Source organism: Homo sapiens, chromosome 1 (assembly GCF_000001405.40).
Source record: "Homo sapiens chromosome 1, GRCh38.p14 Primary Assembly".
NCBI lineage: Eukaryota > Metazoa > Chordata > Mammalia > Primates > Hominidae > Homo > Homo sapiens.
The window spans coordinates 112,614,474-112,640,842 of NC_000001.11; the positions used below are offsets into that span (position 1 = coordinate 112,614,474).

At 42.2% G+C, this 26,369-nt stretch overlaps 2 protein-coding genes and 2 pseudogenes across 30 annotated transcripts in view, besides 5 other annotated features; 1 reads left to right on the plus strand and 3 right to left on the minus strand.

The window, feature by feature from the left end:
* Window positions 1–5,211, minus strand: part of ST7L (suppression of tumorigenicity 7 like) — a 101,882-nt gene extending 96,671 nt beyond the window's left edge. For 18 of the 27 annotated variants that reach the window (XR_007061293.1, XR_007061292.1, XR_007061291.1 and 15 more), the window contains exons 1-2: window positions 4,436–4,668; window positions 2,340–2,422 (exon numbers count right to left, since the gene is read on the minus strand). Coding sequence is in view for 12 of the 27 variants with exons in the window: in XM_011541628.3 (XP_011539930.1) it covers window positions 2,340–2,422; window positions 4,436–4,640 (288 nt within the window). In the remaining 15 variants the exon portion in view is untranslated. Of the gene's footprint in view, window positions 1–2,339; window positions 2,423–3,533; window positions 3,745–3,773; window positions 3,897–4,310; window positions 4,669–4,723 lie in introns of those variants that run through there. The other 9 variants (XM_047423352.1, XM_047423341.1, XM_047423358.1 and 6 more) reach the window with 9 other exon arrangements.
* Window positions 4,632–4,731: an enhancer, noted in NCBI's record as "active region_1514". NCBI's record gives its function as "activates an Ori minimal core promoter by ATAC-STARR-seq in GM12878 lymphoblastoid cells {active_cell/tissue: GM12878}" and the evidence as "EXISTENCE:reporter gene assay evidence [ECO:0000049][PMID:35858748]".
* Window positions 4,840–6,039: an enhancer, noted in NCBI's record as "MED14-independent group 3 enhancer chr1:113161935-113163134 (GRCh37/hg19 assembly coordinates)". NCBI's record gives its function as "activates an origin of replication core promoter dependent on BRD2, BRD4, P300/CBP and CDK7 cofactors, and independent of MED14, by STARR-seq in HCT116 cells {active_cell/tissue: HCT116}" and the evidence as "EXISTENCE:reporter gene assay evidence [ECO:0000049][PMID:35650434]".
* Window positions 5,192–5,641: an enhancer, noted in NCBI's record as "active region_1515". NCBI's record gives its function as "activates an Ori minimal core promoter by ATAC-STARR-seq in GM12878 lymphoblastoid cells {active_cell/tissue: GM12878}" and the evidence as "EXISTENCE:reporter gene assay evidence [ECO:0000049][PMID:35858748]".
* The window catches only part of CAPZA1 (capping actin protein of muscle Z-line subunit alpha 1), a 51,785-nt gene continuing 30,774 nt past the window's right edge, over window positions 5,359–26,369 (plus strand). For all 3 annotated transcript variants that reach the window (XM_017002424.3, NM_006135.3, XM_011542225.4), the window contains exon 1: window positions 5,359–5,410. In XM_017002424.3, the coding sequence (XP_016857913.1) occupies window positions 5,372–5,410 (39 nt within the window). In that variant the 5' untranslated portion in view covers window positions 5,359–5,371. The remainder of the gene's footprint in view (window positions 5,411–26,369) is intronic.
* MRPL53P1 (mitochondrial ribosomal protein L53 pseudogene 1) lies at window positions 11,399–11,752 on the minus strand (annotated as a pseudogene).
* On the minus strand, window positions 20,256–20,308 carry RNU7-70P (RNA, U7 small nuclear 70 pseudogene; annotated as a pseudogene).
* Window positions 21,331–21,430: a silencer, noted in NCBI's record as "silent region_1201". NCBI's record gives its function as "represses an Ori minimal core promoter by ATAC-STARR-seq in GM12878 lymphoblastoid cells {active_cell/tissue: GM12878}" and the evidence as "EXISTENCE:reporter gene assay evidence [ECO:0000049][PMID:35858748]".
* Window positions 23,517–24,017: an enhancer, noted in NCBI's record as "H3K4me1 hESC enhancer chr1:113180612-113181112 (GRCh37/hg19 assembly coordinates)". NCBI's record gives its function as "activates a minimal SCP1, AML or CMV promoter by ChIP-STARR-seq in primed H9 embryonic stem cells {active_cell/tissue: H9 hESC(primed)}" and the evidence as "EXISTENCE:reporter gene assay evidence [ECO:0000049][PMID:30033119]".

The window sequence follows — 26,369 nt, forward strand, 5'->3', positions numbered from 1 at the left end:
ACATGTAGTTTTAATCCTGAATTCCTCAATAGCTTCTATTTTTTTTAGCCAAGAGAAAAATCTCGTTCTTGTTTGGCATTTCACTTTAACAAAATGGTCTGTATTTAGTCCCTATTTAAAAAAATAGATCCAATACAAATGCTATTTCTACTACAGCTGGAGAGCACCACCTAGAGATAAAAAAAAGAACAGGCTGGGCATGGTGGTTCACGCCTGGAACCTTAGCACTTTGGGAGGCCGAGGAGAATGGATCGTTTATGCCCAAGCGTCTGAGACTACCCTGAACAACACAGTGAGACTCTGTCTCTACAAAAAATAAATAAAAATTTAAAGGGAAGAGAAAAATTTATTGGCTATGCATGGCATAAAACTTCTTAAGATTTTTATCTGCAGCAGTATTGTTCCAAAGTGTACACTAGTAAACATGACATCCTAGGGATGTTAACGTGAATTATAAAAAATATTTTATTTTTTTTAAATTAAAAATATCTTCTTCAAGGAAAAGTTGAATTAAAGTTAAACAGTTTTGTTGTTTTTGTTTTTTGAAACAGAGTCTTGCTCTGTCACTCAGGTTAGAGTGCAGTGGCACCATCTTGGCTCACTGTAACCTCTCCCTCCAGGGTTCAAGTGATCCTCCCACCTTGGCCTCTCCAGTAGCTGGGACTATAGGTGCGCCACACACGCCTAATTTTTGTATTTTTTTGAAGAGACAGGGTTTTTCCATGTTTCCCAGGCTGGTCTCGAACTCTATCACCCCACCTCGGTCTCCCAAAGTGCTAGGATTACAGGTATGAACCACTGTATCAGGCCAAACAGGTTTCTTAATTGTGAGAATTCTCAGAATAATGGCCAAAATTCATTAAGTGTACATTCTGAACCAGCTATCATGTTATAAACTTACAACATTATCTGATTTACTCTTCATAATCCTATAAAGTTCATGCTATTAACTGCCAGTTAACAGATGAGGAAACTGGGGCTTGAAAAAACTGTAAGTTGAATTCATGACACATAAATTTTAGTCTTCCCAATGTTGCCAATATTAAAATGCTGTAGTCAGACATGGTGGCACATGCCTGTAATCCCAGCTACTAGGGAGGCTGAGACGGGAGGATGGCTTGAGCCCAGGAGTTAAGGCCACAGTGTGCTATAATGGTGCCTGTGAATATCGACTGTACTCTGGCCTGGGCAACGTAGTGAGACTCCATCTCAATTTTTTTTTAATGGGCAAATTTTATATAAAAACTGTATGTCCAGGTTCTACTTATTTATTCATTCATTTTTGAGAAAGGGTTTCTCTCTGTCGCCCAGGCTGGAGTGCAGTGGCAAGATCTTGGTTCACTGTAACCTCCACCTCCCAAGTTCAAGAGATTCTTATGCCTCAGCCTTCCGAGTAGCTGGGACTACAGGCACATACCACCATACCCAGTTATTTTTTGTATTTTAGTAGACGGAGTTTCATCATGTTGGCCAGGCTGTTCTTGAACTCCTGGCCTCAAGTGATCTGCCTGCTTCAGGCTCCCAAAGTGCTGGGATTATAGGTGTTAGCCACCACGTCCGGCCTGTCTGGGTTCTCTTTAAATCATTTGAAAAATTGAAAAACCTGGTAATACTAGTTCCAAGTCTATATGGCAACAATTAGCTTTAGCCTCTTTTAGAAGGGGCATGCACTGTCCAGGCTACCCAGTCCTCAAAGAAATAAGAATTTAATTATTAAACTCTATCCATTTCACTCATTTTTGTTACCAACTTGGGCTCTGCAGGCATTTAATTTCCAACACACCCCAAGCCCTCCCTGACTACAGTTTACAATAAGCCTTTAATATGTAAATAAATACTGTCAATCTCTTAAAAGTAGATTGGGAGATGCAGTGTTCCCCAAACTTGTTTGAATAGGTAACTCTTTTCAAATGCTGAATACATTTTGGAAATGCTAATCCATAGGTAATAATAATTTATAATTATTATAACCATATAAAGGATCTTTAGGCCAGGGCGGTGCCTCACGCCTGTAATCCCAGCACTTTGGGAGGACAAGGCAGGCGGATCACCTGAGGTCAGGAGTTGGAGACCAGCCTGACCAATATGGTGAAATGCCATCTCTACTAAAAATACAAAAATTATCCGGGCATGGTGGCCGGCACCTGTAATCCCAGCTACTCGGGAGGCTGAGACAGAAGAATTGCTGGAACCTGGAAGGCGGAAGTTGCAGTGAGCCGAGATCATGCCACTGCACTCCAGCCTGGGCGACAGAGCAAGACTCTGTCTCAAAAAAGAAAAAAAAAAAATATCTTTAGATAAACACCAAAACATGAAGGAAGGAAATGGAAACTACTTACAAATATTAGTCCTGATATCAATGAAGAGGTCCCTGTAAGTGCCACATAGAATTTGGGTGTCAATGAATTTAAAAATACAGTCACTGTCAAAAGAACAAGAATCAAAGTTTTAAAAAATGCAAATTTAAAGTACTTAGGTTACAAATATGCAAGTATCTTTATGAGTGGTGGGACTTAAGTAGTATTAATATCTAGTGTGAAATTCACTTGAAAAAGTTTTAATTTGTATATATATTATACATAATGGCTTATCACTATTTGCAACAAATCAAAATGAGGTAATTCAGCTTGCTTTGGAGAATAAAACTAAAGCACTTATAAGTCATAATTTAGATAGAACTTTTGCAAGTCTGTAAGAATAAAAAGATAAATATGCTTTTACAAAGGAGGTTCAAAACTACTCCATATTTATTTTGGTAGGATACAAAACCACTGTCTCAAATTAGAGGGAAGGAAACAGCATATGTATTTGGTATATCAGCTAGAGAGGCAAAATGGCTCAAAGAGAAAAGCAACAAACAGAAATCTCCCTGAGTTACTGAAATCCTGGAGCAGATTTTTCACTTCAAATAATTATCTCATAAGTACTGTGGGTTTTAGAAAGAAAATAAAAATCTGGCCAGGTAGGATGGCTCACTCCCATAATCTCAGAGTTTTGGGAGGCCAAGGCAGGAGGATCACTGGTAGCCAGAAGTTCAAGACCAGCCTGGGCAAATAAAATAGACCCAGTCTCTACGCAAAATTTAAAACTCAGCCAGTCGTGGTGGTGCACGCCTGCAGTCCCAGCTACTTGGGAGGCTGAGGCCAGAGGATCGCTTAAGCAGAAGAGTTCAAGGCTGCAGTGATCTTGCCACTACACTTCAGCCTGGGTGACAAAGGGAGACTCTGTCTGTCTTTCTCTCTCTCACACACACACACACACACACACACACACACACACACACGAAACGTAAAAAAGAAAAATCTATAGTAATCAACTATTCTCATCTAAATGTTGCATATGGTTAACGTAGAAAAATAAATGACAAGTCAATCAGTAACACTGTGCATAGAAACCACCGTTAAGCACTTCATTCACCTGTTACAGAGATGCCAAATTAGCTCTTCAGTTTAGCTTATTTTAGAGTGCTAGTTATATTTGAACTTGATACCTATCCTCCAAAAAAACCAAAATATTTCCGAACATTAACTCACAGTCTTTCATGTCATCTCTGAACAGGAAAGGGGACATTTGCTGCCTTTTGCTTCAGAAAAATCAACCACCATACTGAATCATGTAATGGAAATACTTATATCTTGTTCTGAGGTTGCTGCTCAGATCTTGAGTGAAATATAATCACATGGTAAGGGGACCTGGGCCCTAAACACTTCATCCTGTCTACAGCTAAAGAATAGTACAGTATATGAGAATCCATCAGGATCATCACTTCTTACATGTGTTCGTATTGTCAGCACAGAATACGTAGCAAGTGTTCTACAGACGTCGAAAGAACTAGCAAACCCACTGTTGTTTGTGGCGCTCTCACTTCCTGTACTATTTTATTACTCAAGATAAGCCTAAAAGAACAGACAAAACTATCACGAAAACGATTTCTTAACAGAACTATTTTAAAACAAGAGAATCCTCAATTAAAATCATGCCATTTTCTTTCTCTGAAATCTTTAAATTACAGATGTGCTCATCTTTGTTGCCTGGATATGAGTTCTTTCAGCTGGGCAGCGGGAGACTCAAAGTAGTGACTTTTAAGGGATCCTACCAGAGGTGGGGGAGCCAATATAAATTACGTATCCTAATCTGAGACACTCTTCTGTCCTAATACCTGAAGCTTATAGCTTGTCAGGTGGCTTTTCCATGGAAAAACGAGGACATAAGAGAGAGGGCGGACCTTAAGAGTTCTACGGAGGAGCCGGTAACGGCAGCAGGCTTGTCAATCAACTGCAAGGTTGCAGCCCAAAAGAAAAAGAACTCACTTGATCGCTCATCATCGACTCCTCAGAGGCCCTCTAGGACTACCGAGAATCTCTTGCCCTTTGGCTCTTGCCCCCGACATCTCTCCTGGCCCCCCGCCCTGCCCCAGGAGGTCTGGTCCTCTCACCCGCTGCCAAATTCTCACACAGCCTCAAAGGGATCCTCAGGGCGTAAAGCAGCCCCAGCCCCGCCACGAACCACAACGAGGCCCCAGTCCCCGCCAGCCCGGCCCGCAGTCGCTCCCTCCAGCCTAGCGTCGGGTTTAGGCCAGGGACAGATGCAGGAGACGCTCCAACAGCTGCGGCTTCACCCACGCCGCCACGGTCCGCCATCTTGCCGCTATCGCAGGCGCCAGGAGCTGGGAGGGGAGAAGGACAGGAAACCGGGAGTCGGGAATCCTGGGATAGTGGCGGACCTGAAGTTGGCCTCTGTGAAGGCTGAGTCCTGGGGAACCGGGACCGAGAAGATTTCGAAGGTGGAGGAGCGTGTCTCAAGATTGGGGCTACCTGTTCTTTCGTGGGGCAGGGAAGGGGCGGACAGCAGCGCCTATTCTGGAGGAACTGGACTGAGATGTGACCCCGAAGTGTTACCGCTTCCAAACGAAATGAGGGTCACCTTTCACACCGCCCCCCCCCCGGGGTTGGAAAAGCCACCGATCGTTCCAGCTGCCGAGCAGCTCTTAAAGCTTTGGATTCGGCTGTCGTGGAGATAACGGGCACCAGAAAAACTTGTAGGAGTAGCAACAGCTATTTGGTCGGATGGAGGCCAGAAGCCAAGAATAATCGAAACACGCTGCCAGCGCCCATTAGATGGATGGGAAATGAGTGTAACTCATTGGGAAAGATATTAGACTTCAAATCACCTAAGGCAAACCCTACTTCCTGGGGCGCGGGCGCGGGCGCTGGCGTTAGGAGACGTCACTCCCGCGCATAACTGACATGGGGCCCTCTTGGTCGGCGTTTCCGGGCGGGTCCTTCCGACGGCCGCCGCGGTGATTCCATCACTCGGCTTTCTTCCCGGCCTGCCTCGCGCCCGTAGCCGGGCTGGGCCAGAACAGCCCAAGATGGCCGACTTCGATGATCGTGTGTCGGATGAGGAGAAGGTAAGGGGTCCGCCTCTCTCTCTTACCTCCTCCCCCGACAGGGAACTGGGGCCCGGCCCGGCTGCGTTGGGAGCCTAGCAGTGTCCCCAGGAAAAAGAAGCTTCTTGGTCCATGCTGACATACGCTCTCCGCAGTCGGGACGCTTCCCTCTTAGGGGGCTTTCCTCTGCCTCACGGTGGCCCCAGTTCCTCGTTCCTCGACTCTCCTTTTCTCTCAGGCCTGAGGCACAGCCCAGGGGCCTCCCTGCAAGGGAACAGACGTTTCCTTTATTGGATCGTGACTGTGGACTTTTTTCTGTAATTTTGCGAGAGGGTGGTGGTTATGTTGCGACATATCAAAAAGCAGTTATTTTACCGCCTTTAGCAGTTGGGGCTCACCCCATCCCCCCATTTGTAGATATAATTGGGGTTAGTTTAGGGCGAGTCACTTCCTGGTCAGGATGGCCTCTTAACTTCCCTTTTGCTCCTCCTTCCTCAGGAAGTGATTTTGCTGTCACGACTCTTCGACAAGGAGAGGTCCCAAATGTTGTCCATCTCCCTACACATGCACTACTTTTCTCCTGTACTGTCGCCTGTCTGATTCGCTATAATAAATCTGTGAGCCTCAGGGCATTTGCTTCAGAATTTGAACACCAGTCTTTCCCTATAGACACATCCCTTTTAACGATAATTTTTGAAAATTTTGTTTCTTGTTAACAAATCTAGAATAGCTGATGGATTTTCTTAACCTCCAGAAAGGTTTTCTGTAACACATAATAAACCTTATGTTAACACGTTCAAGACTGAACAAAGCATCCTGCCTTCTTTGATGCTCCACTGTGGAGTCTTTGATCAGTTGAATTTGTCAGTGTGCATTTTGTATGCTCATTTCTTGAAAAGGGTCTTAAATACAAGAGCACATTCTAAGGTGGAATAACTTTTCTTCTGACAGTTGCACAGTTTCATAACAGTTTGTCAGGCTTTTCAGTAAGTACATGGTTTTAGGGCACGTAGAACTTAGAATGACCTCACAAGGCAACTTATTGGACAAGAATTATGACATTTGTCTCCCACTGTGGCTATTAGAAAATGTGTCCCCTTGAGTGCTCTGTAAATCTACCTGGGTGTTTTTTTCAATAAGAAGTTGGGATGGGAAGGGGACTGTTATGATCCATAAGTCCTCTGTACGGAATAACTTGATATATGTAGATATGGCATGCCATTTTGAAATGTTTAACAAGCCATTGACAACAGCGTTAGATTTTCTCTTATTTGGAAACTGATCTTCATACATGTTTAAGATTTAGGACAAAAACATTTATGTATAAGCCTATGCTGGAAATCGATCTATAATAAATTGTTCTAAGGCAAATAGTTACTATTCAAATAAAATTAAGCAAAAATCCTGTTACAATACAACTAAACAATTTTTTTTTTTTTTTGAGACGGAGTCTCGCTCGGCTCACTGCAACTTCCGCCTCCCTGGTTCAAATTATTCTCCTGCCTCAGCTTCCCGAGTAGCTGGGATTACAGGCACCCGCCACCAAGTCCAGCTAATTTTTGTATTTCTTGTAGAGAGTGGGTTTCGTCTTGTTGCCCAGGCCGGTCTCAAACTCTTGGGCTCAAACGATCCATCCGTCTTCGCCACTTAAAGTGCTGGGATTACAGGCGTAAGCCACCGCGGCCGGCCAAAATTTCACAAATAATTTAAATAATAAACTTTTAAGTTTATTGTGCCTACCTGATACACATTGACCAGTGTTGTTGGATTTTTGTCTTTGATACCAGGTTAGAATGCCTTTAATTAAACTTGGGAAAATATATATTTTAAAATGCCAATTAAGATGCCTTTAGATACTGGCAGTGTTTTAATTAATAACATTAATGTCTTGGGTTATGGTTTTTTTTTTTTTTTTTTGAGATGGAGTCTCGCTCTGTCACCCGGGGTGGTGTGCAGTGGTGCGATCTCCGCTCGCTGCAACCTCTGCCTCTCTGGTTCAAGCGATTCTCCTGCCTCAGCCTCTCGAGTAGCTAGGATTACAGGCGCCCGCCACCAAGCCTGGCTAATTTTTTGTATTTTTAGTAGAGACGGGGTTTCACTATGTTGGCCAGGCTGGTCTCGAACTCCTGACCTCATGATCTGCCCGCCTTGGCCTCCCAAAGTGCTGGGATTACAGGCGTGAGCCACCGAGCCCAGCCAGTATTGTTTTTTTTAATAGCAGATCTGTGACCAGTTTCCTCTTCTAGCATACTTTTTTTGTTGCCAAGTATATTTTAATATTGTTTTTTATCTTTGTTACATTTTCTAAAGGCAGTGAACCTTTAGAAAATTTGGTGATAATGGACTCTTAGTTTCCTTGTAAATATTTATGTAAAAGCTAGTAATATCATCTATTCTCATAACTGCTGAAGTTTTTTTAATCACTTTATAAAGAGGAAGTTGGGTTTTGTTACCTGAAATGGTCATGATGAGCTGTCTAAATAAAACAGGAAGTTGAAAGTGTAATAACTTTTAGAAATAAATCTTTTAGTTGTAGCTTTGAGTTCACAGTTTCTGAGAATGAACTTGAGCTCTTTAGTTACATGCTTAGCAAGACCAAGATACTATAATTAGGAATCCTGAAATATGAGATGAATTACTTCTTTGGGTTCTTTTCATTGTCTATTTCCTTTATTTCATTCAACATTTGTAAAACATAAAAGCAAAGAGAATTTTGGGGGGCTGGAAAAAAGTGTGACTAGCATATTTTTTCCCTTCAGCCTAACTAGTGGAATATTTGTGTACAATTTCAAAAGTATGGTAATTGAGAAGTCATGCTTTCAGTTTAGACAATGCTTTCAGTAATAAGATAAAGTTTTCAGTATTAAGAAAAACTACATGCTTTCAGTTTAGACAATGGTAGTGGTGTTAAGGCATTTTTGAGAAACAAGTTTATCAAAATTATTTAGTAGAGCAGTAGAAAATGTTGTAAATAGATGAAATATGAGGGCTTTGTTAGAGCACATGAAAAATATTTTATACTTTTTTTTTTTTTTTTTGAAACGAAGTCTTGCACTGTCTCCCAGCGGGCTGGAGTGCAGTGGTACGATCTCGGCTCACTGCAACCTCCACCTCCTGAGTTCAAGTGATTCTCCTGCCTCAGCATCCCAAGTAGCTGGGATTACAGGCACCTGCCACCACACCCGGCTAATTTTTTGTATTTTTAGTAGAGACAGGGTTTCAATATGTTGGTCAGGCTAGTCTCAAACTCCTGACCTCGTGATCCGCCTGCCTTGGCCTCCCAAAGTGCCGAGATTGCAGGCGTGAGTCACTGCACCTGCCAAATATTTATGCTTTTAAACTGGATCCTTGATTATGTATTACCTCCTTAATTTACTAGTTACCATTGTAGGATAAAGCAAGCCCTAAAGATTGTTTGGTGTGGCTGTTTTCTAACAAGTCATCAATTAATATTAAAACTGTCATTCTTCCATCTTCACTTTTCAGTTAGTTTTGCTGAGAGGTATTCATATAATCTGTTAAGACATCCTAGGACAGGCCGGGCCCAGTGGCTCACGCCTGTGACCCCAACACTCTGGGAGGCCGAGGCAGGTGCATCATCTGAGGTCGGGAGTTTGAGACCAGCCTGACCAACATGGAGAAACCCCATCTCTACTAAAAATACAAAAATTAGCTGGGCGCAGTGGCACATGCCTGTAATCCCAGCTACTCAGTAGGCTGAGGCAGGAGAATCGCTGGAACCTGGGAGGCGGAGGTTGCGGTGACCCGAGATCACGCCATTGCACTCCAGCCTGGGCAACAGGAGCGAAACTCCGTCTCAAAAAAAAAAAAAAAGAAAAGAAAGCCCGGGCGCGGTGGTTCATGCCTGTAATCCCAGCACTTTGGGAGGCCGAGGCGGGTGGATCACGAGGTCAGGAGATCGAGACCTGACCTCAGGAGATCGAGATCCTGGCTAACGCAGTGAAACACCGTCTCTACTAAAAATACAAAAAAATTAGCCGGGCGTGGTGGCAGGTGCCTGTAGTCCCAGCTAATCGGGAGGCTGAGGCAGGAGAATGGTGTGAACCCGGGAGGCAGAGTTTGCAGTGAGCCGAGATTGTGCCACTGCACTCCAGCCTGGGTGACAGAGCAAGACTCCATCTCAAAAAAAAAAAAAAAGAAAAAAGAAAAGAAAAAGAAATCCTAGGACAGGAGCATAAAGCCTAATAAGCAGGTGCAAACTCACATGTCCAGTCTTGTTAGTAGTACTGATTTATCATAATTTCTTCCAGAACACTTAGCTGTTTTATTACGACCAGGCTTAATGCTAAACAAAGTAGTGTAAATTTGTCAGAAAATTCAGATCCCAGGTTTTTCTGATTATGTAGCCATGCTTTTTTCACTATACTTTTCTTTTCCATATAGGTATGAATGAAAAACCAGAGTAGAGACATCCATTTAGTGGATTATAAATGAGGTATTATGGGCTGGGCATGATGGCTCACGCTCGTAATCCCAGTACTTTGGGAGGCCAAGGCGGTCAGATCATCTGAGGTCAGGAGTTAGAGACCAGCCTGACCAACACGGTGAAACCCTGTCTCTATTAAAAATACAAAATTAGCCAGGTGTGGTGGTGCATGTCTGTAATCCCAGCTACTCAGGAGGCTGAGGCAGGAGAATAGCTTGAACCCAGGAGGCGGAGGTTGCAGTGAGCCGAGATCGCGCCATTGCACTCCAGCCTGGGCAACAGAGCAAAACTCCATCAAAAAAAAAAAAAAAAAAAAAAAAAAGAGGTATTATGATGTAATGGAAAAGAGTGATTGTGAGTGTTAGATATGGCCTTTCCCTTTCGTGCTTCTAGCCACCTTGTCACTGATTTTGGAAACCTCACTTAACCTCTATGGGTGGGCCTCAATTTCCATCTAAAATAGAGAAGTAGGGAGGAATTGGATCAAACCAGCCCAAGAAAATTTAATTAACTATTTCAAACTCTAATGAAAAATCTCTACTTTAAAAATTGAAACACAAAAATGTTCTGGGAGGTTCTATTCATTGTCTGCTTTCCTACATTTGCCCTGATTACAAGACTGAGTTCCTTGATAATTGAAACCATGTCTCTTTATCTAGTGCCTAGCATAGTGCCAAGCACACAGTGTATGCACAGCCTATTGGTATGAAAGAGAACACAACTTCATTAATTCTCATATCTCTCCAGTTCACACCCCTTCATCTCCTGTAAAACACCCCTTCCCCTACAATTATTTCTGTTAGTCTCTAGGTGTTTCTTGTATTCAAGAGTATGTCCACAGTTTGGGTGCCTCTGTGCATTCCTTCTATCTGAGCATCTGCCATCATTGGTGCTCTGCCATGCCACTGCTGGGAACATTTGACCCCTCTGGGAGCATCTTCCTAATAGATCCCATAAACTGCAAAGCCTTATGGTTACCAAAATGATGGTGTATATATATACTTGGAGCCTTGCAAAGCCCCTAATGAAAGTATTTCCTTCACCAGCTAGAAGTACTCTCCTTTAGCGATCAGATTAAAACACACACCCAGGTGTGTGTTTTAAAGAAAAAGGACCCAAGAGGGAAAAAGTTTCCAAGGCATGAATGAATTAAGAGTGGCAAATGCTACTGAGATAGAAAGATTAGGACGGAGAAAACAGCACTCACTCTGACAGTATTCTTTCCAACTGGATTTGGTAAATAAGAGTGAAGAGGTACCTCGAGTGAGCACTGGGAGAAGTCATACTGGAAGGGATAAGCAGTGATTGACATAAGAAAGTAAAATAAATTCAGGTTCATCCAGACACCCCCATAATCTTGCCTTGACCCAGAAACATTGTGTTCACAGGACTTTCAGCTTCCCACCCCCATAAGTAAGCTTCCTAATTATGATATCTTGGTCTTGCCAAGCATTTAGAGGGCCTTACTCTGTGGCCCTCCAGATAGTGATTTGAATGATTAAGTAAACCTCTTTTTAGATAAGTGTTCTAGTCCAGTCTAACATCAGCTTGTTGGTCTTTTTGGCACTGTCATTGTCCAGTACCAGCACATTCTTGGCTCCTTGCCACATCTCTGGCCTCAATGTGGGAGGCAAAGACAGTGAGCATTTCCAGAGTGGTGAGATGGGTGCAGCACATAATGAGGCGATGACCACACAGCATCTCTGAACAGCATGTCCACACAGGGCTCGAAGTCATTATGCTGCATGTCCACCTCATGTCCACAATAGCTGAGCAGTTGAGATTGGTGGAGTGGACCTTCTCATTACTCATCATCTAGAGGAAGGTCCTCATCATCTCTACTTCTCAAAGGGGTAGAATTGAACCTGAACCTGCTTGACAGACAAGAGCCCAAGCCTAACCAAGGTGGCTGCCATGGTGACCCTTGCCCTGAAAGCCATTTCCATTAATTTAAAAATTGTAGGTATATAGGAACTATAATAACAGGCTTAAAATTAAAATTTGCTCTGTTTGTTGGGTCACACGTGTAATCCCAATACTTTGGGAGGCTAAGCCGGGACGATCACTTGAGCTCAGAAGTTTGAGACTAGCCTGGGCAACATAGTGAGATCCCGGTCTCTACCAAAAAAAAAAAAAAAATTAAAATGGTGGGACAGGGCACAAGTAAAAAGTCGCCTCCTGCCCCTGTCTTCCACCCACCCAGTTTCCCTGACAAGTAGCCAATATTACCAATTCCTCTTGTATCTTTTCTAATTCTATGCATATACAGACACACTTTTCACTTAATAATATCTCTAACCTGTCCACATTCCATCTACCATTATTTTCACTCAGGACCTTTTTTTATGCTTGAATTATTTTTAACAACATTTTTAATTATCTCTCTGCCTCAGGCCTCTCCTTTCTTTATACATCCTTCCTGGTTTATCATAAATTCTTCACAGCTATAACGTATTACAAAATTTTGAGCAGTGTGTAAAATTTATCTTTGGTACAACTGCACATACAGATTGTTAAGGCAGTGTCAGTGAAATGGAACATTGATCGAATTCTGTTGAGTGTAGTCATGGTATAACATACTGTTTAAACAAGAAAACAGCATAATGGCAGACTGTAGCAAAGGAAGGTGGTAAGAGAACTTTGCTTTGTGGATTCTTTGTTTTACATCTGGGTAACATTTAAGTGCTTCTTTTGTGCTAACTATGTATTAACCATGTATTTATCTCACAACATCCTTATAGGACAGATACTTATGCCCATTTTACAGTAGAGTAAACTGAGGCACAGGCACATTTGAGGTTAAAATATATGACCCAAGTGTCCAGAACTAATAAATGGCAGAGTGGATACAATGCTGTTGTCTGCTGTCAGAGCCTATGCTCTTACCCATTTTGATTCCTTTAAGTAGATAGTAAGATAGTAAGCAGTTTTGATGAAATAATGACATAGTCCTAAACAGCAACCAAGTTAATCATGTAGTAACCTGGATGCCTTTATAGACACTGAAACATTGGTGTTCTGTGGTCCTGATTGCATTATAATTGTTGCTGAATGGCCAGGTGCGGTGGTTCACACTTGTAATCCCAGCACTTTGGGAGGCTGAGGCAGGCGGATTACTTGAACCCAGGAGTTCAAGACCAGCCTGAGCAACATAGTGAAACCCCATCTCTAGAGAAAATACAAAAATTAGCCCAGCATAGTGGCACACGCCTGTAGTCCCAGCTACTTGGGAGAATCACTTGAACCTGAGAGTAGGAGGTTGCAGTGAGCCGAGATCATGCCATTGCACTCCAGCCTGGCCTGGCCGACAGTGCGAGACTCTGTCTCAAAAAAAAAAAAAAAAAAAAAAAAAAAAAAGAAGGGCCAGGCGTAGTGGTTCACGCCTGTAATCCCAGCACTTTGGGACTTTGGGAGGCTGAGGCAGGCGGATCACCTGAGGCTAGGAGTTTGAGACCAGCCTGACCAACATGGAGAAACCCCGTCTCTACTAAAAATACAAAATTAGCTGGGCGTGATGGCGCATGCCTGTAATCCCAGCTACTCAGCAGGCTGAGGCAGGAGAATAGCTTAAACCCAGGAGACGGAGGTTGCAGTGAGCCAAGATTGCGCCATTGCACTCCAGCCTGGGCAACAAGAGTGAAACTCTGTCTCAAAAAAAAAAAAGTTGCTTAGTGCTCTTTGAGCTTAAGTATGCCGTGAAGAGTTCTAGTATTTATGCTGTGTTATTAAACAGGTGTTGAAAAACATGGCTCTAGAAATTTAAAGATCACTAAAGTCCCCGTAACAAGGCCAAGGAGAAACTTTACAGTATGACAGTATCTTAGAACATCCTTGCCTATGGCAGAATCTGTGTTTCCTTCAAAAACAGATTTCTGAGTTCCATCCTAGGTATATTGAATCAGAATTTTTTGGAACCAGTTGTCAGGAATTATTTGTAATAAGCCTCCCAATAATTATTGGAATACTTGAGAACCATTATCTTAGTGAACTTGCTGTGGTTCAAATCTTAGTCCTCTGCTTATTTAGCTCAGAAGCTTGATTGATCAGGATACTAAACCAGGTCTCTCTCGGGGATAAACTCATTTTAGCTAGGCTTATGAAACTAATGTATAAAACTGGAATAACAATTTAATACATATAGAAGGAACTAAGTTCTTTTTTTCAGATAGGTCAGGAACATGGGAAATCAAGTTAGAATGTTTTAATGGAGCATAGAATTAGAACAAAGGAAGTTAACTAGATAGTCCAAAGTATTGATGGCATTTTGTTTCATAATAGGCATATGTACCCAACACCAAAACCAAGTCACGTCTTTGTATAACAGCATTGGACATTTTTCCTCTAGATAGGTTCATTTGTTATCACATTACTAGCAGGGGAGTTTTGCAGGACTGGTTATGTGTCAAAATTTTGCATACTGCAGCTTCTCCTACAGTCTGCCCGCCCTTGGTTAATGACACTTCCATTCTTTAGTTGCTCAGGTCAAAAACATTAGTGTTATCTTTGACTACTATTTCTTTCACAATCCACTTGTTGTCCACTGGTAAATCCTGTAGGCTCTGTCTTTAAAATAAACCCAGAATTTGACTATTTCTTACCACACCCTTATTCTAACCACTCTGGAAGAAGCCATTGTGACCTCTAGATTATTAAAATACTATTTTTTATGGTTTCCCTGCTTCTGCTGTTGCTCCTGCCCAGCAGTCTGTCCTCGATGAAGCATCCAGAGTGATCTGGTTAAAATGTAGGTCAGTACATGTCACTTTTCTGCTCAAAGCCCTCCGGTGGCTTCCCATCTTTTTCTAAGTCCCTATGTTCTGGGATGTTACCTCTTTGCCATTTATCTCTGACTTTATCTCCTACATGTTCTTCTTCTGGTCTTTGTTCCAATCACGTATTCTCGCTGAATAATCTTTGCATTTGTTCTTTTCTCTGGAGTTCTTTTCCTTCTGTATCCCTCATTTCAGATACTTAACCAGAAGTCATCTCCTTAGTGAAGCTTTCTCTGGTTATTCTGTCCAGTTGCAAATCCTAACATTTCTTGTCCCTTTTCTTTGCCTTGTTTTTTCTCCTTAGCATTTATCACTTGCCAGGTAGTATTTTACTTAATCTTCTCTGTTGTCTTTACCCACTAGAATGTAAACTCCATGAGGACAGTATGCTAGTGAGTCACCATTGCCTAAAACATAGTGGGTCTTCTGATATTTGTTGAATGCATGAATCTTGCTTGGATAGCATCTGTCTTGATTTCATTGTTAACTCTCATAGGGCAGTCTGATTTCCAAGTTTTGTGAGGCCATATTGAGGACTCCAGTACTTCTGTATTACTGATAGATTTTTATTAATGGAGCTTTGTCCTCAGAAAGCTTTAGCAAGTGGCCATTGCCAATGACATACGGAATGAAACCAGATTTGGTATTACCATCATTACTGCTATCTGACTTACCTTAGTTCATCCTTCTCTTTTATTCTCTCCAAATCCTCTGTTCTACCAAACAAGAGAGTGTTTTCCCACTACCTTTTTTGTTCTTATTCCCTCACTCATAGTGCCCTCCCTTTCCTCCCTTCCACCCTATCTAAAGTACTTTGCAGAGCCCAGCTTCTCCTTTTCTCTGTAGTTGTCCTCCACCAACCCAGCTCAATATCCAACTCCTTACTCTTAAGTTCTGTGCCTTATGTTATCTGTACTACTGCTTTGGCAGTTTTGCTGCTTAGAATTATAGTTGTTTTTAATTTTTTTATTTTATTTTTGGGACAGGGTCTCACTCTGTCACCAAGACTGGAGTTCAGTGGTGGGATCTTGGCTTACTGCAACCTCTGCCTCCTGGGCTCAAGTGATCCTCCCACCTCAGCCTTTCTAATGAGTAGCTAGGACTGCAGGCACGCAACTAATTTTTAAGTATTTTTTTTGTAGAAACAGTCTCACTATATTGCCCAGACTGGTCTCAAACTCCTGGGATTACAGGCATGAGCCACTGCACTTGGCACTCGGCCCTGGCAATTATTTTATTTTTTATTTTTTAATTTTTTATTTGTATTTATTTTTATTTTTGTTAGAGAGTCTCACTCTTTCGCCCAGGCTGGAGTGCAGTGGTGCCATCTCGGCTCACTGCAACCTCCGTCCCCCAGGTTCAAGCGATTCTCCTGTCTCAGCCTCCCGAGTAGCTGGGATTACAGGCGCCTGTCACCACACCTGCCTAATTTTTTGTATTTTTAGTAGAGACGGGGTTTCACCATCTTGGCCAGACTGATCTTGAACTCCTGACCTCGTGATGCACCCACCTCGTCCTCCCTAAGTGCTGGGATTATAGAAGTGAGCCACTGCACCCAGCCGGATTTTTTATTTTTTGAGACGAGACATCATTGTGTCCCATGCTGGTCTGAAACTCCTTGGCTCAAGCGGTCCTCCTGCCTTGGCCTCCCAAAGTGCTGGGATTACAGGCCTGAGCTCACTGTGCCCAGCCTGAATTAAAGTTATTTTTAAATGCTGGCACATCTTTACTGAGGGCTATTATTTGTATAAATTGTTTTGTTAACAGTGGTAAAGTATACAGAGATTGGAAAGCCAAGGTGCTTACTGTATGTTATATTCGTCTTATGTTGTTTGTATCTACCAGGATGAATTGCACTTTATATTAGCTTAAGGTAGTGGCTGTCAACCCTGACAGCATGTTAGAATCACCTGAGGAAGCTTTTAAACTGATGCCCAAGCCCTACCCCAGACTAGTACATCAGAATTTCTGCAGGTGGAACCCATATGTCAATATAGTTAAATCTTCCCAGGTGATTCTAATGTGTAGCCAAGGTCCAGAACCACTGATTTAAGGCAAAAGATAATTTGTTGGCTTACCTCTTTGACAATCCTACTCTTTGTCTTTATCTTTAGTATTCACCTCAGTGCCTGAGACCAAATGAATTGTTTTGTGGTTTGTTTTGAGTGAATGAACAAATTGTTAAACACAAAGAGCTGAACTTTTTAAAAGACAACATAACTCAGAATTCAGTGATGTCTAGGTATTTGCTTAGGGAAGAAAATTAAGGATCTGCTGTATGGGAGTCTGTCTCATGTTACCTCATGGGTTCTTAAAACAGTCCTAGATATGAGTAGGTTTTATAATCACAAATGAAGAAACTAAGACCCAAGCAATTTAGCAGTAAAGCTGGCATGTGAAACTGTATCTGACTCCCAGTGATTTTGAGGAAAAAAAAAATTGGTAAAAAGATATACTTTAAGTTAGAATGCCGTAACATGCCAGATACATACCAGATCTTAAAGGCAAAACCGTTCTTGTTTCCCACTGCTGCTTTTTCCATCTAGCCTGGGTTCTCACCGCCGAACTTTACCCTTTCAAACTTGACATCTACATCATTGCTCGCTAACACGTGAATCTCAAGGTACCTGGTGTGGTCATTTTTCCCTAATTTATTTTATTTATTCTTGGGCAACCTCCGGACCAGAATAGGTTCAAAGAGGCTTTTTCCTAATTTTTTAACCTTGTGGGTATTTTTTTAAGCACATTTAAGCTCCTAAACAAGTTGCTTATGGGATGTTTTCACTCATTTTAATTTTTTTTCTGTGTGTTGTAAATGTTATGCTTAAATGTGTCATTTTTAAACACTACTAAGTGGTATGAAATACAATGACTCTTAGTTAAAGTAAAAATTATTCTAATGCATGTTAAAACAGTAAAGAAGACTATTCAAAATTATTATGGCCAGGTGTGGTGGCTCATGCCCGTAATCCCAGCACTTTGGGAAGTCAAGGCGGGCGGATCACCTGAGATCAGGAGTTCAAGACCAGCCTGGCCAACATGGTGAAACCCCATCTCTATTGAAAATACAAAAATTAGCAGAGCCTGGTGGTGGGCGCCTGTAATGATCCCAGCTGTTTGGGAGGCTGAGGCAGGAGAATTGCTTGAACCCGGGAGGTGGAGGTTGCAGTGCGCCAACATCACGCCACTGCACTCCATCCTGGGTGACATCTCAAAACAAACCAAAGAAAAGACTATTACAATAGGGGAGAAAAATCAGGCTCAACTCCTAATACAGTAAAGACAGCTGGGTATTTACGTATAGCCAATAAGCAGAGTTGGGGAGAAAATTATTAAGAGGAGACCATGAGGGTAGGGGGATTCATGCTGAAGGCAGTTCAAAGACTTACACATCAAAAGTAGGGAATGAAGAACTTGATCAGATATCAAGGGTGGGCAGATTCTTGCTAAAACTGGGCTAGGCAGGCCAAAGACAGGGGGATGTGGGGCAGGGAGGCGGGGTGGGGTGTCAAATCCTAGTTCAAAAGAGGCCTTAGAGAGAAGCCTAAAGTTTGCCATTCCATGTGTTGTGAGATGTACATAATTGCTTTAGTAAATAGTCAAGTGTTTAAGACATACCAGAAAAGCAATTATTCCCTAGAGTTTGTAGAATGTTTTAAAGTGAAATTGCTCTACTTAAAACTAACTTGCCTGACTTCCCTACCTACTTATGTCTAATAAAACTCTTAATTGGCTACTAATAGAGAAAACAATTTCTAAAGACTATTAAAATGACTTTTGAAAGAGTGAATGTGAAGCAAATTATTTGGAAATGCCAGCATCTATTTTTTATAATGTTGATTCTGATTTAAGATATATCTTTATGCTTTCAAGTCTTATCTCTTGCTGATAATGATAAACTATATACATCTACAATTTTATTTCTAAGTACATTCTGTGTATCTCCAGGTCTCAGCTGGGAAAATAATATTTAGTTTATTTAGAATTTTAAGAAACACAGATAACAGTAACTTTTATTTAGTGAAACCAGTACTGTATACATTATTACTAACTGTGGTCACCATGCAGTGCAGTAGAGCACTAGAACTTATTTTTCCAGTCTCACTGTAACTGTATACCCTCTAATTTCTATCTTTGATATCTTTCCTTTCCCCATCCCTTCCCTGACCCCTCAGCCTCTGGTAACCACCATTCTATTCTCTGTTTCTCTGACATAGGCTTTTTTAGATTCTGCATATCTTATAGTGAGATCATACAGTATTCATCTTTCTGTGTCTGGCTTATTTCACTTAGCATATATCTTTCAGGTCCATCCTTGTTGTTGCAAAAGACAGAATTTCCTTCTTTTTAAAAGCTGTATAGTATTCCATTGTGTGTATATAACACATTTTCTTTATCCATTCATCTGTTGAGTTGATTGATACTTAGGTTACTTTTGTATCTTGATTATTGTGAACACTGCTGAAATGAACATGGGGGTGCAGATATCTCTCTGACATACCAATTTCAGTTCCTTTGGCTATCTATCCAGAAGTGAATTTCCGAATCATATGGTAATTTTAGTATATTGCGGAATTTCCATGCTGTTAGTATTTTCCAAAATGGCTGTACTAATTTACATTCCCACCAACAGAAGGGTTCCTTTTTCTCCTTATCCTGGCCCAAGACTTGTTATCATTTGTCTTTTTGATAATAGCCATTCTGACAGGCATGAGGTGATATCTCATTGTGGTTTTAATTTGCATTTCCCTGATTAGAGATGTTGAGCATTTTTTCATATATCTCTTGCCCATTTGTATATCTTTGAGAAATGTCTGTTCAGACCGTTTGCCCATTTTAAAATTGGGTTATTTGTTTTCTTGCTATTGAGTTGTTTTGAGTTCCTTATATATTTTTGGTATTAGCCCTTTATCAGATGTATAGTTTGCAAATATTTCCTCCCAGTCACTTAGTTGTCTCCTCTTACTGTTAATTTTCTCCTTTGCCATACAGAAGCTTTTTAGTTTGATGCAACATCCGAAATATCTTCAAATGGGAAAAACTCCCTTAGGAAATAGCATTGAATTCTGTGCAAGCAGAACTTACCAGGATAAGAATAACATCCTGTACATATCTCTTTCAGGAAAAATAAATGCAACTATTTATTCTTGAATACTTTTGGAATGGGTTAGAGTGAAAATAAGTAAAATAAATATTTACGGAGGCATAGTTTACTACTATTATACTTTCTTTAAGTATACCCTATTTGGAAAACTTTAAAAACTTTGAAATATGTGTTATTACTTCAAAGGGAAATTGGAACAGACATTTTCATAAAGCTTTTTTGGTCAGTAAAAAGTTGTGTAGTTATTGGTGGGGATTATTATGATGGCAATGATAGAGAATATAAAGTGGCTAGGACCCAAAGGATTTCTAGAACAAGAGGATTATTTTCTTTGAAGTAGTAATTTGATAGTAATTTGAAGGGTTTGCTCAGTTTATAATTTAAAGTAAGAGTTATCCTGCTGTGACCAGTTAAGATAACAGTAGCTGACATTTATTGAGCCTCTCCTGTTATATTTTAAGTATTCTGCTAAAGATTTGACCATATATTGTCTCATTTAATCTTTACAACAATTTTTTTAAATTTAATATTGGGTAGGTTGGTTTCTGGTGAAAACCAGAAAACCTGCTACACAAATTCTAAAAGAGCTGTAACAACTCCCAACAATTTTTAAGGAGTACATACTATCCCACTTTAGGGAGAGGATGTGGTTCAAAGAGATTTTTAAGTGACTGAAATTCAAAACTGGGTCTGTCCAATCCAGAGCCTATATTTTTCCATTTTGCCATAGTACCTCATAATAATCTTTAAAACTGAGAACATTTCCTTTACATCTTCTTATTCAAAAAGGATTTTGTAAATATTTACTCATTGCCTGCCATGTGTAATTTAATTTGCTAGACCCTGTAATATATAGAAGAGGAAAGCAAGGCAGTTTCCCTCCCAAAAAAACTTGAGTCTTTGGAGGCAGACTAGTATCTATAGAACTAATTATCAGTAGCAGTTATATTTTAGGTGCTATGATAAGCATTCAAATACACTTTGAACACTTTTTACGGTTGGGTTGGAAGAACCCAACCTTAAAAAATGGGAAGGATTTAGACAGACCAAGATAGGGAGAAAGGCACAACTTTCAAGGAGAGTATGAGTCAAGGCCAAGAGGTGAAATCTTTAATACATTCAGTAGACTAATGAAGGAGGTAAAGATTTTTATTGACCAGGGAGACATGCTGGCAGAGATTTGGCTCCTAAAGTATACAAAACTGGGGTGGTATAAACTGACCAGGCCTTTGCTGATAAGTGGAATGTGGATATTATCTAGCGAAAGAATTCTCCCTTTTCTGTCTAGAATTATCCACCAGTGCCCACAAAGAGTTGCAGTTGTTAAATATTTAACTTAAAGTTCGTTTGTATGTGTTTGTCAAGGACTTTTTTTTTTTTTTTTGAGACGAGTAGCTGGGATTACAACACCCAGCTAATTTTTGCATTTTTAGCAGAGACAGGGTTTCCCCCTGTTAGCCAGCTGGTCTTGAACTCCTGACCTGCCTCGGCATCTGAAAGTGCTGGGATTATAGGTGTGAGCCACCGTGCCCGGCCCAAGGAAATAATTTTAAAAGCTAGTGATGGCTGGGCTTAGTGGCTCACGCCTGTAATCCCAGCACTTTAGGAGGCTGAGGCAGGCAGATCATGAGGTCAGGAGTTCGAGACCAGCCTGGTCACACGGTGAAACCCCACCTCTACTAAAAATGCAAAAATTAGCCAGGCGTGGTGGCAGGCGCCTGTAGTCCCAGCTACTCAGGAGGCTGGGGCAGGAGAATTGCTTGAACCCGGGAGGCGGAGGTTGCAGTGAGCTGAGATCGCGCCACTGCACTCCAGCCTCGGTGACAGAGCGAGACTCTTTCTAGAAAAAAATAAAAAATAAAAGCTAGTTATGAATAGGTGCAATGTTGATGAAATGTGTGGGGTCTGTTATTAAAAGATTATCTAATAAGCTACAGTTTTATAAATTCCTTAGGACATTTTCTTAAGATTCTTGCTAAAATATGGTATATGAAAATCTAAGAAAATTAAGCCACTTCTAGGGAAAATGAAACTTAGGACTTTTCAGTGCGACTGATTTTTAAACTTTCAGTACAGATACTAGTAATGTGAAAATGAAATTTTGAATCTTGCAAGGATTGGTTTATTATTATTTCCCCCTTTTAGAGGTAAGAGAATAAGACGAATGGGAAGAAATTGAAATTTAGGAAATCTTATCTTTTGTTGGTTATATATTTTAAATCCCCCCTTTTTAGGTTAGGAACAAAATATAATTAATTTTATGCTAGTAATTTTATTGTAATATTTAAATATATGAAAGAGGAAATTATGTAAAAGCCTCGGATAGTCTCCCTTTAAAATATTCAAGGAGTTACACCGTTTAGTGTAGATACTATCTGATGAATACAGTGTGTAGTGAAACTGTTACTTTATGAAATAGGGACAGTTTTTTAAAGGCTTTTTTTTTTAAGCAGCAGTTCAGTTTTTGTTCAACTAAAACCTTCATATTAGTGATTCTCAAGTTAGAGGAGCTGACATACCTCCCCTTTATGGGAGATAACTGCCTTCTTTCTTTCACTCTCCCACCCTTGAGAATGATTGACTAAATCACTGTTAATGAAAATGTCATCCCTCATCTGTATTGTAGCAAAGATATTTTTTCAGTCACTAACTGCTTAGTCATTTCCCTCTCCCCTTTTGCTCTATTAATTTCATCTTAGCTTTGACCCAGTTTTGAAGTTGGATAAAATGTTAACTTTTAAACTTATTTATCATTTTATCTATTCTTCTCAACTTTGTAACAACTGCATCTTTCACAAGCATAGCTTTGACTCAATTCTTGGTTAAAACAGTCTAAAAGGACAGTCAAATTCATGTGACACACTAAAGGTAATCCTCCAGACTTATACTTCCTTTTAATACTGCATGATATAGTTGAATGTCTAAGTTACAATTCCAGCTCCACCCATTTATTATAAGCATGCAATCTTAGACAAGGCACTTACACTCCCTGAACCTATTTCTTGATTTATAAATGGGGATAATAGTCTCTCCCCTGCCTTCTTTAACAAGCTGTTTTAAAGATCAATAAAAGAAACAGCTTACATAAGAGTTTTATAAACAATAAAATAGTATTCATTCATTCACATTCCTAGCATGTTCTAGGTCTCAGTCCTGGGTATACTGCAGTGAACAAACATAACAAGTTCTTTTGTTCTGTGTCAGGGGTTGACAAACTATGGCCAGTGGGCCAAATCCAGTCCACCATCTGTTTTTGTTTTGTTTTGTTTTGTTGTTTGTTGAGACAGGCTCTTGCTCTATTGCACAGGCTGGAGTGCAGTGGCACAATCATAGCTCACTGCAGCCTTGACCCCCCAGGCTCAAGTGATCCTCCTGCCTCAACCTCCTGAGTAGCTTGGACTACAGGCATGTGCCACCATGCCCGGCTAAATTTTCTTGTTATTTGTAATAGAGATAAGATCTTACTGTGTTGCCTAGGCTGGGTCTCGAATTCCTGAGCTCAAGCGTTTCTCCAGCTTTGGCCTCCTAAAGTGTTGGGATTACAGGTGTGAGCTGCTGTGCTGGGCCCACTGCCTGTTTTTATAGGATCTATAAACTAATGCTTTTGGAATGGTTGAAAACAAAAAAAGAATAATCATATTTCATGATGTGAAAATTACATGAAATACAAATTTCAGAGTACAAAATAAAGTTTTATTGGAACACAACCATGCTTAACAGTTGGGACAGAAACGCTGTGACTCCCAAAGCCCATCTGCCCTTTACATTAGCAGTTTATTGACTCTTGCTCTATGATCTTGGACTTTGGGGGATGTTGGACAGTAAACATGTAAGTATATGTTAAGTGGTGGCAAATTCCTTGAAGAAAAATAAAGCAGTAAAAGGGCTAGAATTGTGAAGGTTGGAAGGGTACAACAGCTAATTTATATATGGGAGTTAGGGAAGGGTAGTTTATTTGGCAGGTAACATTTGAACAGAGACTAAATAAAGATTGGAGTGAATAATCCAAGAGAGCATTTCTGGCCAAAGGAACAAGAAATATACCCTGAGGCATGAGTGTAGCTGTAAGTCTAGGAGCTAAGTGGTATGAGTGGAGGAATTAGGGAAGGAGGAGCCATGGAACAGACTTTAGATTTATTTATTTTTTGAGACAGAGTCTCACTCTGTCACCAAGGCTGGAGTGCAGTGGCACTGTGTTGGCTCACTGCAACCTCCGTCTCCTGGGTTCAAGCAGTTCTCCTGCCTCAGCCTCCCGAGTAGCTGGGATTACAGGTGCCCACCACTACGCCCGGCTAGTGTTTATATTTTTAGTAGAGACAGGGTTACACCATGTTGGCCAGGCTGGTCTCAAACTCCTGACCTCAATTGATCCACCCACCTCAGCCTTCCAAAATGCTGGGATTACAGGCGTGAGCCACCACACCCAGCCCAGACTTTAGATTTTATAGTGAGTATGTAAATATATCAGGCCGGGCACAGTGGCTCGCATCTGTAATCCCAGCACTTTGGGAGACTGAAGCAGGTGGATCACCTGAGGTCAGGAGTTCGAGACCAGCCTGGCCAACATGGTGAAACCCCATCCCTACTAAAAATACAAACATTAGCCAGGTGTGGTAGCACATGCCTGTAATCCCAGCTACCCAGGAGGCAGAGGTTGCAGTGAGCCGAGATCATGCCACTGCACTCCGGCCTGGGCAACAGAGCGAGACTCCATAGATATAGATATAGATATAGATATAGATATAGATATAGGTATAGATATAGAGATAGAGATATATATAGAGAGAGAATAATTTATATAATATATAATTATATATTATATAATTTTAATATAATTATATGTATTATGTCTACTACTTAAAGGTATTTTTGTGGTATTGTGTTCAAATAGTGAAAAATCAACACTTCAGAAACTATCAAATATCTAATAACCATCCACCATTTTAGTAACTGTCAGGAAATAACATAGGATTCCTTGCTATGACAATGTGTTTTAGGATTCCATGTTGGCATCTAATGATAACTACATTATTTTTAACCACTCATTAAGTATTTCACCCTTGCCATTGCATATACTTTCAAATCTCCTCGCTTTCATTTAAAAACTGGGAGATGTTTTGGTTCCTCTAATTGGATATTTCTCCTGTTCTTGATATTCACAGATGAACAGGGAATATTAAGTTTTTTCAGCACTTGAACCCGAATTCAAATACTACTACTAGATTTTCTTCCCTCACCCTGCTTTTTAACTTAGAAAATGGAAGTGAGCTTTTAGTTTACCTTTTTCTTTCATATAATCCCCTTGTTTAACCAATTCATCAATTTTTTAAGCATGAGGTACTATGGGGATATGAAGGTCAAAGGTCTTGGTCAAGAAGTAACTTTAAGAAGCCTTCTTTATTGCCTTTAGGATTTGGACATCCTCACCTCAGTCCTTTGGCTTCCTTGACCTGGTTCTTTCAGTTTTCATGTCACTCAGTAGCTTTTATCTTTCTTTATTTCCCCTTTCATCTTAAAAAAAAAAATTAAAGGATGAGGGATGTTGACATGCTCCTTTTTTTATTAAAAAAATTGGCCAGCCGCCCCGTCCGGGAGGTGAGGGGCGCCTCTGCCCGGCCGCCCCTACTGGGAAGTGAGGAGCCCCTCTGCCCGGCCAGCCGCCCCGTCCGGGAGGGAGGTGGGGGGGTCAGCCCCCCACCCGGCCAGCCGCCCCGTCCGGGAGGGAGGTGGGGGGGTCAGCCCCCCGCCCGGCCAGCCGCCCCGTCCGGGAGGGAGGTGGGGGGGTCAGCCCCCCGCCCGGCCAGCCGCCCCGTCCGGGAGGGAGGTGGGGGGGTCAGCCCCCCGCCCGGCCAGCCGCCCCTTCCGGGAGGTGAGGGTCGCCTCTGCCCGGCCGCCCCTACTGGGAAGTGAGGAGCCCCTCTGCCCAGCCAGCCGCCCCGTCCGGGAGGGAGGTGGGGGGATCAGCCCCCCACCCGGCCAGCCGCCCAGTCCGGGAGGGAGGTGGGGGGGTCAGCCCCCCGCCCGGCCAGCCGCCCCGTCCGGGAGGTGAGGGGCGCCTCTGCCCGGCCGCCCCTACTGGGAAGTGAGGAGCCCCTCTGCCCGGCCAGCCGCCCCGTCCGGGAGGGAGGTGGGGGGGTCAGCCCCCCGCCCGGCCAGCCGCCCCGTCCGGGAGGGAGGTGGGGGTGAGCCCCCCACCCGGCCAGCCGCCCCGTCCGGGAGGTGAGGGGCGCCTCTGCCCGGCCGCCCCTACTGGGAAGTGAGGAGCCCCTCTGCCCAGCCAGCCGCCCAGTCCGGGAGGGAGGTGGGGGGGTCAGCCCCCCGTCCGGGAGGTGAGGGGCGCCTCTGCCCGGCCGCCCCTCCTGGGAAGTGAGGAGCCCCCTGCCCGGCCAGCCGCCCCATCCGGGAGGGAGGTGGGGGGGTCAGCCCCCCGCCCGGCCAGCCGCCCCATCCGGGACGTGAGGGGTGCCTCTGCCCGGCCGCCCCTGCTGGAAAGTGAGGAGCCCCTCTGCCTGGCCACCGCCCCGTCTGGGAGGTGTGCCCAGCAGCTCATTGAGAACGGGCCAGGATGACAATGGCGGCTTTGTGGAATAGAGAGGGGAGAAAGGTGGGGAAATGATTGAGAAATCGGATGGTTGCCGTGTCTGTGTAGAAGGAGGT